The sequence below is a fragment of the Homo sapiens genome, chromosome 2 (genome assembly GCF_000001405.40).
Source record: "Homo sapiens chromosome 2, GRCh38.p14 Primary Assembly".
NCBI lineage: Eukaryota > Metazoa > Chordata > Mammalia > Primates > Hominidae > Homo > Homo sapiens.
This window is the reverse complement of record NC_000002.12, coordinates 114422544-114439851: the sequence shown is the minus strand read 5'-3', so window position 1 is coordinate 114439851 and position 17308 is coordinate 114422544.

The window sequence follows — 17308 nt, the reverse complement described above, 5'->3', positions numbered from 1 at the left end:
AATGAAAACAGCTGCAAAATTGCATCACGGTTTGTCACATGGAAGTAGTTTTTTTTAAGGTTTAGATCTGCTGAAGAAACACTATACAGTAAATCATACTGAACTAGAAAATTTAGACAATTTAGTCCAAAGGACCAATTTCAAATGTAATCAACACTTATGATAACCGTATAAAAATATGTTGTTGTCAAACAGTTTGGGAAAAGTTAGGAGTGAGTCCCTTCCACCTTTCCCACAAAAAAAATTAAGATGGCTAACGCTTTCAGAAAATATAACCCACGATGTTCCTTGACCAGCTATCATTTGATCCGGGAAATAGAAATTTAGGATGGGGTTAATGAAAATATCCCATTAGAAAAAAAAAAAAGTCAAAGTGTCAGATGGATTCTACTACCAATTTCCGTCTCTTTGTTTCAAGTCCCATCTGCCCAAGCCCTAACTAGCTGGTCACAGTGATGACCTACAGATTGCAAAGTTAGGCAAGCCCAGGCCTCTAGTCAATAAGAATGGTATCTGAAAGGATATTGGGCTGTTTCCCTGATTTTTTTGAAATCTACTGTAGAAAATTCAAATCCCTCCATGACCATTGAGGGATCATCTCCTCATCTTAACACCTATCATCTGTGTTCTGGTCTTCTCATGACCCATCCACTGAGTCATTTGCATTTCCTACTAGAACTGGAATATGGTTTCTAATGGTTGGCTTTTTTGACTTGACCCTCACCTAACTCCTGCCTGCCACATCTTTCTTCATGATTGACCCCTGCTTGTAACACCTTCTATGCTTCAGATTGTTCCCGGGATTCACTCAAGTGGAAGTCTCTGGTCTAATTGTGGCTTCATGGTCTTCAAGAATTGATCTTTTCTGGAAACCACTTGCAGAGTCAGGATAGGCAAAGTTATGGTTCAATAACAAATAACCTCCAAGGTCGGGTGCAGTGGCCTACACTGATAATCCCAGCATTTTGAGAGGCTGAGACAAGTGGGTCACTTGAGGCCAGGAGTCTGAGAACAGCCTGGGCAACATGGCAAACCCCATCTCTACAAAAAAATACAAAAATTAGCCTGGCATGGTGGTGCACACCTGTAATCCCAGCTATTCGGGAGGCTGAGGCATGAGAGTTGCTTGAACCCCAGAGGCGGAGGTTGCAGTGAGCTGAGATTGTGCCACTGCACTACAGCCTGAATGACAGAGGGAGACTCTATCTCAAAAAATAAAAATAAATAAATAAATACATTTATAAGTAATCTCTAAATCCCAGTGGTTTAAAATAATGAAGGTTTCTTTCTCATTATACAGCATGCCAATACCTGGTTGGCACGGGAGGAAGAGCACGTGAGGCTCTTTCAATCTTAGGGATCCAGGCTGATAAAGGCCCCATCTTAATACAAGCTTTCACAATCAACAAGGCAGAAGGAAAGAAACATGAAAAATCATGCTCTTATTTAAAGGCTTATGCCCAGCAAAGACACAAAACACTTCTACTTACATTCCATTGGCTAAAGCCACTCTCATGGCTACATTCAAGTTTAGGTAACAAGAAAGTGACGTGCAGCATGCACCCAAGTAGCAGTAAAATCAGAATAGCATTCTGAGTAACCCTAATGATAGCCATAACCCTACTGCTGCTTATTTTTCATATGCAGAGATATATGCCTATCTCTGCCATCCAACCTTAAGATGCCAACATGCTTATATTTAATGGTCCATAGACTGTGACAAGTTAATTTCAAAGCTACTTCAGGTAAATATAAGACAGAACTTCTTTATCCTATGTGTCTTGTTATCAACAGGGCTTTCCTAATATCTTTTCCTGAGTTATTCAGGAGTAGGATACAGACCCATAATAACACTTGCATATGGGGAAATACCAGAGTTGAATGTGAGCTATGAGGATTTCCCCTGCTGGGCACATATAGCTCTGCAAAGGCCAGAGCCATTGGTAGGAGGCAGAGCAGGCAGGCCTGACTACATAAGAGTGCATACTTTTAACTATTCTGCTATACGAATAAAAAAAGTTATTTTATCCTACTAACCGTTGTAACTGTACTAATACAACAAAAAGTAAAACTCACATTTTCTTATTCTTTCAGTAGTAATCACTTGAAGGACTTTCTGAAAAAAAAGCAAATATAGTATTATGAATTCTCAAGTAGCAATAAAATGTAAGTTTAATGAGAAAAAGAACACAAATTTCTAAACTCGCTTTTACATTAGATGATCAACTACTGTGTGATTCACTGTCTGAAAGCCACCTCTCCAGACTTATGTCCCATAATATTCCAACCAAACACACAAACACATAGAAAGTGGGAAGTGCTCGCTCTACATTTTCAATTTATCGTCCAAATTAATTAATGAAGTAGTTTATTGTACTCTTTCTCTCATGAGGTATTGCCTAAAACCACATAGAACGTGAGAGCAGGGATTAGAATCAACAAATAAGTGAAGTTATTGACTAGCCTATGCCAGTCCAGCTTTAGAGCTGGCTGCCATTCCCGTATCCAATAAGAACTGACCTACACTCATTGACAAGTGTGAATTGCCCCTCTTTGCATCTCCCGTTACTGGATTTGGCTTCCTGATTTTTCCACTATTCATCTCTTGATCATCACCACAAACTTTTCAAACTGTCCTCTTAGCTGATCCTTGACTATAATTTGCTCTTATCCTGGAGGCTGCCTGCTTCCAAGTACACTGGATATATAGTCTGTATGATGCAGACCAACCTCAGGGTGACCGACTGTCACAGATCCAGTTGACTGACATTCCTGACAGGTTCCACTCCCTGCTGCTTGCTAACCAGAACCAAACACAAACATCTCAAAAATTATCAGTTGCCCCAAGTGGAGTTCCACATCCATAAAAAAGCAAAACATTATCTCTGCTACTGTCATTGTCTTACACAGTTCTAATGGTGACATTTATGTTTTCTGGAATAATTCTCTTCTGCAAAAACTTCCAGCTGAAAATGTGATCCAAATCCTAAATTTATAAAACACTAAAATAGATAGCCATGATTTCCTCATAAGGGATTTTTGGAGCTTTCCTCACCCTCAGTTCTCCAGTTGCAAATAACTCAGCAAACAAGACCCCCAAAAGTGCCTTAGAAATGTTCAGTTCTAGATACAGATGCTTTCATGAACACACAGAAATAAACACTGGAGGTAACTCTTTATGTAAGCATAACAATCTGCTCCACAATCCCTGACAAATGCCTTCAATAAATTTTCTCTATGGCCAAAGTCATAAATCACTGTGAAGACAGAATGCACACATAAAATCCATTGCACTATAGTTCCCCAGACATCAGGGACAGACTACTTCATCTAGTTCAGCTATTAGTGACAGCAGTCCCCCAAGCCAGCCTATACTATTCTAAGGTCCCAAGATCTGCCTATTAGGAATTTTGACCATTGCTCCCTGATTGCCCATTTCTCCTGCTTTCATTTCTTCCTGTTCTGAGTGTTGTCGCAACATTTATGACCTGAAAAGGAGTTCACATGTAAGGTAGATAATTGATGAGCCCAATAAAACAATCATTATAATTTTTAGGGAGCTTTGGCAGTCATTCAGTCCTGGATTCTACTGTGCATCCCACATCTCCAAAGCAGTGGAATGCAGAACCAGTGTTTGCCAGGACTCAGTTCCCTTCCTTTCCCTGTGGTAAACAGTCTTCAACTGCAGATAGTGCCCAACTCAGAGGCTGACTGCTACCTTGGCAGCATTAAGGAGGTGCCATGGCAGGTGTGGTTTGTAACTTCAGCATTTTGTACATTATATAAGAGAACAAAGTGCTGGTTTGGAAATTTTGTTCTATCTTACAAAATTATGGTCATAAGGCAAGTCTTCTGGAATAAAAATTCAAGGAGCAGTCTTAAAGCAAATTAAATGTTTGTAGTCTTTGGAAAAGGCAAGTAAAGTACCCAAATTCAAAATATCTCTTCCAGCCTCTTCATTGCCTCATTCAAAGAAGGCTTTAAAATCAAAGCTAAAAGAATTGACTTTGACCTCCTGGAAAACAAAATAAGGTTAGGAAAGTGCTCATTTTATTCCCTTCCTGCCATCCCCAATTACTACATATTATTCAATGCCCATCTAAATGTTGCCTCTTTCCTCAGATTTTCTTCCTGATTTTTTCACATTTTATCTTTGCCTCTTTTACGGTACTAATCACATTCTGATTTTAGTAACTTAGTTCTGTATTGTTCTTACGTGTATTAACTTGTCCATAAGTTCTCTGAGGGATAAGATTACGGTTCAAAATTCTTTATATAACATGAAACACTTCAGCACATGCATATAGATTAACAACAAACTGCAGGTTATATTACTTAACTCATTAATTAAACCCAAAATCTATTCATTGAGTTTAGCAGTAACTAGGTCACATTTAGCCTTGCTAAGAGCAGTTTTGTGGAAAGGTAAAAGAAATACTAGATTTCAATGGATCAAAAGCTAAATAAAAGGCAAAAAATGGCACATGGAATATAAACCACTGTTAAGAAACTTGGCTGTGAGGAGGCAAATTTATGCTTGGGAAAGGTAATAACCCCAGATAAATAAAAGTTATGATACTATAAAATCATAAATTCTATAGAAAATACTATTTTTTTCCTCTAAAAATATTACTAAATTTTTCTGTATTCTTCCCCTAAACAAATCTATCAGATATGAGTCAGCATGGGAATGAAACAGCAGATGTACTACTGACCTGATTAGAAAATTTAAGCAAAATACATACTGTCCGGAGTAACAGCAACAGGGGGGAAACAACACCAAAAAGCTGCATTTTATTCTGAATTTTGCAAAAATTATACTTGCGGAAAACGGTATTCTCACTTTTACAATATAAAAGGTCATTGTATTTAGGTGGCAAGATAGCTCACCATTAGTATTTTTTCTTTTTGAGCTCCTAAGTTAAACAATGATTTAGAATTAGAATATTCTAATAATGTTTTCTCACTAAAGAATATTGATTAAAATACTGCTTGAACTCAAAAAGTTTCCAGCTCTTAGCACCAGAGTTAAAGCATTCATTTGTTGATTGAGAGAAAAATGTGCATGCCTACTATGTTTTAAGAAACATGTTAGGCATTAGCAGTACAAAAGTGAGCAATAACGATCTTTTTCTTCACTGAGTTCACATTCAAGTATGGGGGCAATGAGGTCAAATGGTGGTGCCATGTATGAAGCAACCACCTCTGAGTGTACACGGTCAAAGAAGCTTCAGAAAGGACATGAAGCATGAGCTGGGTCATCAAAAGTGAGACATGGGAGTTTTTGAGGTAGAAAAGTGGAAATAGGAATAAGGTGGAAATAATAATGCAGTAATTTTCAGGAGAAATCTGAGGAGATGGGGTTCAGACTTCTGGTGGTAAGATCAGTCTCTATGAGGAAGAAGCTTTTTATTTCCTCTGAGACTGGAAATAAGGAAGTTCATGTGAGGCCAGCTACAAGCTGCAGATCTGTCTAGATATCCAGGTGAGAACTAGAGGTACATGAACAGATTCCATATTAAGTAAGAGTTTGCATAATTTTCTGAGAACGAATGAGACATGGGATTGGGCTAGAAGAGAGTAGTGGAAGATTAAAACTGTTACTGAGAAGAATTGAGCACAAATGAACCAAAGAGAAATGAAACGATTTTCTAGAGAAATAAGGATCTAGCTAAAGAAGGTCACAGAAGTGGAGTTAAATAATTGTTTGAGAAGAGTATAAAGCCCACTTGGTAGAGAACCAGCATCCTGAATTCCATGGTTAAAGATCGCCAAAGTTTCAAGTTTTTGTCCTGCTCTTGCTGGTGACCTGAAATGTCCAACACTTAGGTGCTTAAGTCATTTTAGTTCTCCTTTTAAATGTAAGAAAGGTCAAAACCAGGAAAAGATAGCCAATTGGATACATGCATCTAATTTGGCAGTACCTAAAAACACCCACTAGATAAGTAAATATTTTTTGGAAGACATAAACTTATAAGGATGGAAATAAAAAGAGAAGATTTAACAGCAACAAATTTTTGGAAGACTGAAAGATGAGTATTGAATAATTCAGCAGACTTAATTAAATAATTAATCAGTCCAAGCTTAAGCTGGTACTATAGAAAATTGAGAAACAACCATATTTGCACTGCAGAATCATCAAAAGGTACAGGAAGTGACAGCACCAGATATCTCTGGAACTGGGAGCAAAGCGTAATTTAGATGAAGAGAACGATGATAATTGGTTTAACATTATTTGAGAAAAAAAATAGATCCCTGGAACCCCTCCCCACTCTATGCCCATAGACAACTGCCCATCCTCCACTCTGGCAAAATGCTGGAGACTTCTCAAAAGATTTCTGGAAGGTTCAATTCTGGAGACTCTAAATAGAGGGTATCAGCACAAAAGGACTCCAGACTCATGTGAAAACCTAGACAGTCTTTTAAGAACAGTGAGATGATGTGGCCAAGTGACTATGGAATGCTGACCAACCTACCCCTTTCCTGTTTTTTATTTCCAAAACTCTGGTAGGCAGACCTGTATTTTCAATACAAAAGATTGGAAGAGTCTGCTCCAAGGAAAAGCCCAAAGACATTAACATCAAAGAACTCTAACAACTCACCCTCATCACCCTGCCAAGGAGACCAAAGTCTGCAAACCCTATTCATGTGCGCAGAGGTTTCGATTACATTTTACATTTCTATTCTAAATCATGGGCAGAAAACTGAGGGTTATTAGACACGAGGAAATTCTATATCTTTAATATAGAGACCAAGTAAAACAAATAGAAAAAGGTCCTTGGAGGAAGGTCTCTAATATAGAGACCAAGTCAAATAAATAGAAAAAAGTCCTTGGAGGAAGCAAGGACTATGAAGGGAGAAAAAAATGAAAGAAACTATTATTAAGAGTAGTAACAGTGGCTATTATATCCATGAAACAAGGCTAGAATGTTGTTTTAAAAAATAAAAGAGAATTCAAATAAAACACTAGTAATTAAAAATGTGATATCAGAATTTTTTGGATCAGTATAACGTAAAGTTGAGGAAACCCATATAAAAAGAGCGTCTTTAAAGAGATGGAAAAGATAACAAAATTAGAAGACTTGTTTGCAGTGGTCTGATACCTAAATATTAGTACTAGAAAGAAAGGGAAACAAAGAACAGGAGGGAAGAAATCATCAACCAAATAATGACTTAAATTTTCTAGAAATAGAAGGGCCAGAGTTTTTAGATTGAAAATGCCCACTGAATGTCCAACACAAAAAGTAAAACTAGACCCTGAATGAGGAACACCATTCTGAAATTTTAGAGCACTGGGGACAAAGATGCTAAGAACTTTCATGGAGGAAAAATAAAAGTGTTATGTATGAACAATAAGAAATCAGAGGAGCCATGGGTTTCTCAATAGCAATTCTGGAAACTAGCAGGCTGGATGGAACAACACACTAAGGGAAAATGATTTCTAACAGAATTCTGTAACTAGCAAAACTATCAATCAAATAAGAAGATAGAATAAAATTAACTTCAGACATGCAAATCACAAAATATTCACCTCCCACATAGCCTTTCTCATAATGCCTCTGTAGACGAACTCGTCAAAAGCCTTTTCTTGGTGAAACAATGCATAAAACACTTCTACTACTAATCAAAGTACAATGGTTGTACAGTGAAGTTGTAAGTTGATGAGCTGCTTTTTAATGAAATGACACTTTTATGTGAAAGAACAACTGACAGGCACACTGTGATTATTCACACTTGAATATTTGCCTGATACATTCTCTAAAATGAACAAAGTGAGCCTAACACTTTAAGGAAAACAACTGACAATAGCTGTGGCCAGTGTTAAAATAGGAACTTTCAAGCCAAAATTAGAATTCAGGAAATTTCTAACTGTCATGGGAGCTTAACTTCTTTCCAATACTTAGACTTTTCTGATGACATGTGTGGTTGTATTAACTGTATTAACAAGCATGATTTCTCAACGTTGTATAGTGAAAATTGTTGATATTTGGAAGATCTAAATTAGTAGGTAAGTCAGCATCTTCCAAATGACCAATGGATGACATTAAAGAAATGTGCATGGGTAAAAGAGTACAAAATAGATTAATAAACTTTTCATAGTAAAAAGTTAATAGATATGGTTTCAGATCCTATATTGCCACTAACCTTTAAGAAACTACCTTTAATAGAGTTGTGGTGTGCTACCAAAGAAAAAGAACCACAATTATCTAAAAAGGCCACAAAATATTTCTGCCTTTTCCAACTACAATTCTGCATAAGGTCCATTTTCTTCAAGCACTTCAGTGAAAACAACAAGCTGTAAAAGATTGAATGCAGAAATAGTTATGAAAATCCATCTGTTTTTCTTTCAATGCAGACATTGAAGAGACTGTGTTTTGTTTTGGAAATAAGTTACTTTTCATAAAAATGTTACTTACGTTAAAACACAATTAGCATATTATTGTGATTTTCAAATTAATTAATAAACACTTTTTTCTAAACGTTAGTGTTAATTTTTAATACAGTCAACATTAATAAACATGACCCATATAAATAAAAGCTCTTGGATTTCCTCAATCTTTTATTTGTTTTTTTAAGGATATGAGTCCCTGAGACCAAAAAGTCTGAGAACCACTAACATAGGAAAAAAGAAGAAATGTAGTATAAGAGCCATTTTTTTAAAAATCGTTTATTTAAAAGGGTGTTAAGGTGCATAACCAACTACTAGTACATTCCTCACTTATTAATTAGGACAATGAAATTCAGAAATGAGAAAGTGACACCAGCAATTACTCACAAAGCTAGTTCAAGCGTTCATGACTCTTTCCTCCCACTCCAAGGCTTTTTCTTCTGTATTATGCTGGCTTCTCAACCTCCATTTTGTAATCTGCATATCTTTTTTATGAACAGATAATATATATGTACATATGTGGGGTGTGTGCGTGTGTATAGAATTGTACTAGAGGCAGCAATCTTGTCCTTCCAACTTTCTTAACTCCTTCTCAGAAAACTTGTTCCAACAGCCTCTATTAAGAAATCAACAGACCTCATGAGCCCAGTACCCCCAGTTTCCGCTAATGGAATTAGTTATAGAGATACAAACAAAACAAACTTCTCTTTCTGAAAGTTATATTTGGAAAAAAGGAAAACTAGTCAGTCTCTACTGAAAACTTAAAATTGGTAAAACTGAGTAGCTGGGTAGGGTTTAAAACAATCACAACTGGGCCCGACATTTGCCAAAGTCAAGACAATGTGAATTGCAGCTGAAGGAGAGACAAGAAGATCAGCAGAGAAACACTGAGGGGTGGGACTGGCCCCAGTCCTCCAGTTCCTGGTTACAGGCCCTGTGAGGCCTAGCTTCAGAAGATTCCCATTGATTCGTCAATTTTTGCTTTATTTATTTGAATGGGTTTTTATTCTTTGCAACCTAGTGACCATGTTTCAGGAAAAATGTGCAAATGTATATAATTCCTACTCCAATAATGATGAAGTACAGCTACAGAGTGGATGGTGAAAGTATAAAAGGCAGAACATAAAGCCCTGGCATTTGCCCGATGAGAGCAGTTGCCAAGGCACAGAGCATGGCGGCAGAGAAAGCCTGTACACATGCCTTCAGCTGGCAACCTGAGAGATCACATCAGAGGTCTCTAATTTGGACCAAACATGTAGTTGGCAATTTCACTGAAAAAAACTGGATTCAGACAGGGCTTGATAACACATTGTAAAGTCTTCATAAATAATTGTTAAATTAAGAAATAAAAGCACGGCACACTTGTGGCCAACTCTCTCTAAATGTTACAATCATCTTGGAAATCACTTATCCAAAACTTCTTAAGCAATGGATCTAAAGTAAGGACCATACAAAAAGTACGTTTTCAAATAGGACTCCAGATGAGAAAATCTACCAAAAAAAAATAAAAAATTCTGTAGTGATGTCCAGCTATTCTGTTGTAATTGTAAAAGCTGAAGGTAAGAGTGGTGTTTATACTAAAGAAGAGCAAAGAGGGTTTTCTGGATAAATTCTAGAGCAGTCTCTAGAAGAGGTTAAAAAGACTGGAGCAAGCAACTAACAAAAAGCTAAGAAAAGTCATCAAATCAATGGAAACCCAAAAAGGAAAAACATGGAGGAGTGAAAGAAGAAATTGGTGCTAGTAATTTGAACAACATAGGATGATAAAGGATTTTGACTAGGCTATTGTTGAAAAGTCAGGAATAATGTCGACCCCATTATACACAGATGTTTACTGTTTGTGAAAACTCTTTCTAAAGCATTATGTTAAATGTGCTGGAAAACAGCAAGGGAGTGAAAGTTGACGTGTCTCTTCTAATCCTGGTTGATGAGGACTCAAACCTTAGAAAACATAAAATGTCCTTGAAAAATTATTATGATTCTGACATAGCAGGAGCTTCTCAAATACAAGAGTCACCAAAAAATAGACCTAAGACTGTGGGCAGATATATGCTGTTACCCCTCCAAAAGTAATGTCTTCATCCGCACAGAGGTTATGGCACTCAAGGGTCGACGACACCCAGTGATTAAAATCTGTGCCCAATACCCAGCCAGAGAGAGGCCTGAGATTTAGGGAGAATCTCTTCACTCTTTTTGGCTCTCAGGCCGGAGACTGCGGAATGTTGCCGACCCTGCAATTCAGGTTTTCCATCCTTAAAGACACTGAAGATGGACGAGACCCTGAAATCACTCTCCAAACACTGATTCTTTATTTATGGAGCCTAGGAGATAGGGAACATTAAGTGAACTCAAAACGGCATGTTGTGATCAGATTTTCAGCTGTTCTGTGTCACTGGGAACTGCAAAGTAAAAAGAACAGCCCTCTCCGATTGTCCTATTGATGTATTGAACAGTTTCAATATTTAATGTCAGATTTGGGTTTAGTAAAAAGGAACAGACCTCAACTAGACTGATTAATATCAAGCCAGCCAGGATAGATGTGGAGAAGGTGGTCATTTGTGTGATATAATTGCGGTGAACCAGGAAGAGCCATTCTGGGCAAAAACTGATTCATCTGGCCCAGTCCCAGACACCCTTCAGGTTTCACACTACAGCAAATTAAACAATGTGGAGTCGTTCTTTGGGAGGCCTCTCTGTGTTCCCTTCTTTATAAATTATAAATCTACTTACTGTCCAATATAATTCATTAAAAGAAAAACCCTACCTGTCAATTTCTTTGCATGAATATATGAGAGAGAGACACGGAGAGAAAGAGCTGTGATAAAAATATGTATCAAACTTTTATCATCATTTAATCCTAGGAAGTAGGATAAGAAGGAGTATAAGAATGAAAGAAAGCCAGGCTTTCCTCTATTTTTTAGAATTCTATAGAGGATTTAATTTGTTTAAATTTTACTCCAACAAATATGCACTACTTTTGTAATTTGGACAAAAGAAATCCAAAAAGAGAAAACTGTTGCTCACACTTCTGGAGTGTTAATGGCTTATTCATTCACACAAACTTTGCCTTGACTAACATGAGATTTTTATTTGCTGCTCCTTGATGCCAGTCCTAAAAATTGTAGATTTCAATTCTATTCTGTATCAAAATGTCATAAACTACCAAGGCTGGAAGATCCATTGGGGCAAACTCTGAATATTGGAGTAAAGGAAATGACATGATAAGTCACTTGTTTATAATAGATTGTCTCATTGACTCAGCAAATATTCTTTGAGTGCCTGTATATTTAACCAAAAATTAAAAGTGTGTTGGAGTTAAACAACTATGAGTTTTATACATATCTATCCACAAAGGACTTCTTATCAAATTTACTGCATACCAGTAATATGACTGGCACAATTCTAAATATATATATACTCGTATGTTTTAGACAGAAATTCATAGTCCCACTTTATGAATAAGAAAGTTGAGGCTCAAAAGAGTTAAATCTTCTGTCCGAAGTCACACACCTGGCGAGTATTGGTGGTATAGTCAAACCCAGATATTCTTCCCTCCAGTCCTAGGTACTGGTCAGTTTTGTATGAGGCATTCTTCTCTTGGGACTTATTCGAGGAGAAGAGAGACAATCAGAAGTGAAACTGTTTTTTTGTTGTTTTTTTCTAAACTTCTAGTCCAATTATTTTATCTAAATCACAACAATAAATATACCAATTTGAGGCTTGTTTCCGTCCTCAGTTTTAAATACTCTTTTGAATAGCTCAGAACTATTTCCTTGATCAAAAACTGATACTCACTTGGCAAGCCTTATTACTTAAATCATCTCCCATAAAATAAAAAAATAAAATAAAAGCTCATTAGAGGGGATTTTCAATATCCTCTGATTTCTAATTAAAACAAGAATTAAAAATCATAAAACTGATTAAAGTTTGTGTGGAAGAAAATAACTTAACCTTTGGACTACTTGTATTTATTATTCTTGGTGACCTCTCAAGCTAAATAATTCTGGCTGAAAATAAGACTCTGATAAAATAAACGGATTTGGATTGCTTTTCGTGCTTCCTCACAAATCTTTCTAAAGACCTTGAACTTTCTGTGGACAGAGGATATCATGACTTACGATACAGGTTAGAATAAAAGATATTTTATTGAATCTAAAATGAAAAAATATATCTTCTGTTTTAGAATTATAACTTCCCTATAATTTTATTTTATAGAGATGCTATGAACTGATGTATGTTTCCCCAAATTTATATATTGAAGTCCTAATCTGTATTTGGACATAGGTCCTATAACGAGGTAATCAAGGTTAGATGAGGTCATAAAAGTGGGGTCTTGATACAATAGGAAGAAGAGACTTCTAACAAGAGACAATGGAGAGCTTTTTCTCTCTTTCACCACACACAAAGAAGAGGTCATGTGAGCACCCAGCAAGATGGCGGCTACCTACAAGCCAGGAGAAGCAGCCTCAGAATGAAAACTATCTTGCTGGCACCTTGACCTTGGACTTTCCAGCTTTCAGAACTGTGAGAAAACAAATCTCTGTTGTTTTAGCCACACAGTCTGTGGTATCTTGTTACGACAGCCGAGCAGACTAATACAAGGAATATGACTTCATTTATATGAGTAAGTAATTTTGAACAAAAATAGCTTTGGGTAGATAAATTTAAGGTTGCTAATTTGGGCATAAAGCTTTGCTCCAACTGATAATTGGTGATAAGAATCATAGCACAAACTGCAACAAAATTAATGTGGCTACAGTCACTTCTTTGAACATCACTTAGAAGATAGAATTTATGGTGATACCGCCAGGTAAATTTCTTAAACTCAAAGAAACAAGTGTAGCTGACTGTCAACCTGGCCTTCCTTTCTACAACGTAAGGGCTTCCCAGTTGAACTCAGTTTACTAAGCAAAAGCATCCATTTCCCTTTCTTCAAAAATATTGGTGTTAAAAGAATTACAGGAGGAAAGAGGAAAACTAGTACACTTTCCAGGGAAATGTCTACAGTATAACTGAATTTTGTATGAAAAGGGAGAACACACACTCAGCCGACAGGAAAACATTGTCTCCATTTTCTCTCATGGCAAAACATCAAGGCCCCACTTTCCTGCCAGGCCTCTAGGCAACTTCAGAATTCATTTCTACGTGGCAGCCTGGCCAGCCCTTTCCAGTGACTGGAGCTGGCATGCACAATAGAATTTAATTGCTATGCCTGAGTATAACTCAGCTTGCCATTTCTTTACAGAACCACAGACCCAGGTCTAGGGGAAACTGGGCTGAAGCTAAGATAAATTAGGCTAAAAGCAAGAAAGATTTAAAACCACCAGCTCTCATATTACTATATTTAGGAGATGAGAAATGTTAATAATTCAGTACATATTGTGTGATCTAATAATTGCTTATATAATATTCATCCTTGGAATGGCTGTGGGCCAACACTACAGGCTGGGTGATGTAACTTGCACTTTCTTTTTTTTTCTTTTTCTTTTTTTTTTTTTTTTTGAGATGGAGTCTCGCTCTGTCTCCCAGGCTGGCGTGCAATGGCACTATCTCGGCTCACTGCAAGCTCCGCCTCCCAGGTTCACGCCATTCTCCTGCTTCAGCCTCTGGAGTAGCTGGGACTACAGATGCCTGCCACCACGCCCAGCTAATTTTTGTATCTGTTTTTAGTAGAGACGGGGTTTCATCGTGTTAGCCAGGATGGTCTCGATCTCCTGACCTCGTGATCCGCCTGCTTCGGCCTCCCAAAGTGCTGGGATTACAGGCTGAGCCACCGCGCCCAGCCTCAATTTGCACTTTCAATACGCTTCTCCTTTCCTGACTGTTCTCAAGGACTTAAAAGCTGGAAACAGGTTTATTTAGTTCCCTTTTCAGCTAGGTGTGGGCATATAACATAGGTCTGGGATATAAGCAGAAATCTGCTGAAGCAACCTGTTCTGTCTGGAATGCAGTCACAAAGCCTAGAGATGTGGCAACTTCCAGTGCCCATAGAGCAGCATACATAAGCATAAATGCCAAGACACTAAGAATGAGGCATAGAAACATGGGAGGAACGTGGGTCCCTGGAGTCATTGCTAAACCCACTGCCCTGGACTGTTACTGCCAGCCTTCTTCTTATGTGTGGGTGGCATATGCAGCTTTAGGTTTTTAATCTAGGACAAACCATGTGCTCCATATTTTGCAGTTGAACATTCTTGATTAATACAATGACTTCAGGTTTGCAAAAGCTTAGAAAACTTTGAGCAAAACAAATATTTTCTGCCATAAATATGTATCCAAGAAAATCTTAAAAGCCTTTCAAGTGTACAAAATCCTAGTTATTGTCTCCAGTTGAGTAACTTTTCACTTGCCTCTTTTATCTTGGGAAAGGGCACCAATCCTCTTACAGTGATAAAGGAAACAGTGAATTCAAACTAGAGTCACATAATTCTATTGCTTTTATAACTCTATCTGCTATGTCACTTGCTCTCTCACTAATTCTATGTGCTAGTTCCAGTTCTTTTTTTATGTCTAATAGTTCCTCTCTTTTCCCAGTTGTGGTTGGCTGCCATCACAGAGGAATTCCGTGGCATGGTCCAGCTGTAGCCAGACACTAACGCAATCCAAGCTTTGCTTGGCAATATGTAAAAAGACCAAGCCTAGCCATTTTATAGAGTGTGGAACTGGTCTTGTTTCCTTAAGTCTATAAAGTGTTCCTATGTACCTATCAACAGTAAGTAACCTTATTCCTCAACCTTATTTCTACCAACTTTTTGACAACCCAGAGCCCCTGAGTGTAAACATGCTTAGTGTCTTACAAACAGGTCTACTTTAAAGGACCATTGCATAGGGTCATGATAGACTTTGAACAACATTCCCTTTCCCTACTCCCAAATTCTACATAAGACCGCAGAACACTCTATTGATTTGAAACTATCCATATTTTATTCATATAATTGTGGTTTGCATAAGTTATCTAATACACATACATACACACACATATTTTTATCTAATATATTTCTAATACACATACATACACACACATATTTTTAGCTTTTTCCTGTTGAGGTGACTATTATCAGATCTTTAAAATTTATGTGCTATTAGGTAAAATCATTTTATGTCACGAGTTGTCATATCAGGCCACACCTGTGATTTTCAACACTGATATGATATTCAGAGCAATTGGACCACACCTTGCTTTCATTCAGTCAGAACCCAGCAATGTTTTGATTATGTTCAGGTTACACCCACGGAGGTGTTGACTGATTCCAGCAATCATATTTTCATCATTAAACTAAGGAATAGTTGATACAGCTCTTTAGAAGCAATGTAAATCTGCTGACAAAGAAAAGCTAATAAAATCATTGTTATACCAATCTCTCCAAAAAAAATCTTCAATTAGACAAGATTATTTTAAGAGTAAAATGTTGGAATCAGAATCAGGCTGGGCAACAAAAAAAGGGGGAGGAAGAGGAGGAGGAGGAGAAGGAGGAAGAGGAAGAGGAGGAGAAGAAGAAGAAGGAGGAGGAGGAAGAGGAGGAGGAGGAGAAAGAGGAGGAGGAGGAGGAAGAGGAGAAAGATAAGGCTTGAAGACCACAACCTTCCTATGTAAGAAATTTCTTTATTATTTTTTATTTTTTTGAGATGGAGTCTTGCTCTGTCACCAGGCTGGAGTGCAGTGGCATGATCTCGGCTTACCGCAACCTCCACCTCCTGGGTTCAAGCGATTCTCCTGCCTCAGCCTCACGAGTAGCTGGGACTACAGGCACGCACCACCATGCTCAGCTAATTTTTGTATTTTCAGTACAGACAGGGTTTCACCATGTTGGCGAGGATGGTCTCAATCTCTTGACCTCGTGATCGACCCGCCTTGGCCTCCCAAAGTGCTGGGATTACAGGTGTCAGCCACCACGCCCAACCAGAAATGTCTTGTATCACTTTATCCCAGAGCCTCAGATATACTCTTCTACTACCCTGAATCCCAGCCTTCTTCCCTGAGGTTCACCAGAATACATGACCTAGTTCTTCTCAGTTCCTCCCTGTGTGGGTTAATCCCTCTCTAATTGCTGCAGGATTAAGATTCTGCTTCAAACTGAAGGGTATTTGAAACTATACTACAGTCTCCTTTGTGATTCTTGTTAGGAAGATGACTAGAGAATTGTATAGTTATTTTAGGGGGAATTGTAGAACACAGTCAATAAAGAGTACCTAAATAAAATGAAGTGGTGAAGTAAATTAGTTTCAACCTCAGCTTAAGCACAGGATTCTGGCACTGCTGTGCAGGCCGACTTCTTGTGCAGAAAGTCTTTCAACTTAGCTTCAGCCAAGTGTGTGCCTTAAACATTCCTTTTGCATAGGGAATTGCATGCATTCCTGCCTTGTCAAACTGTGGAAGTATAGGCTTTTTCCGACTTCTGTCATCTCTCCTTGCTCCGGCATCATGGGTCCCTACAACTCACCTCCATGCTTCAGAATTCTTCCAACCCACTAGGTACATATGTCTGGTTCTCCCGAGAGCGCTCTCTCACCATGCAGTGGGCTCTATCTGCATCTCAGCAAACCTTCAGCCAGAGGGTAAGATATCAATGCCCCACCCCCTTACAGGCATCTTCAGTCTCTACGACTGAATTCTTTGAGCCCTCTTCAGTTAGATAGGGCAAGTAGAGGAAGGAAAAAATTCTAAGGGCTCTGGACCACTATTAATTCCCTTCATTCTGTCTTCCCATACTTTATTTTCCTCTTTTTCTTTTTCTTTTTTTTTTTTTTCAGAGTCTCGCTGTGATGCCCAGGCTGGAGTGCACTGGCACAATCTCTGCTCACTGCAAACTCCGCCTCCCGGGTTCACTCCATTCTCCTGCCTCAGCCTCCCGAGCAGCTGGGACCACAGGCACCTGCCACCACGCCTGGCTAATTTTTTTTTTTTTTTTGTATTTTTAG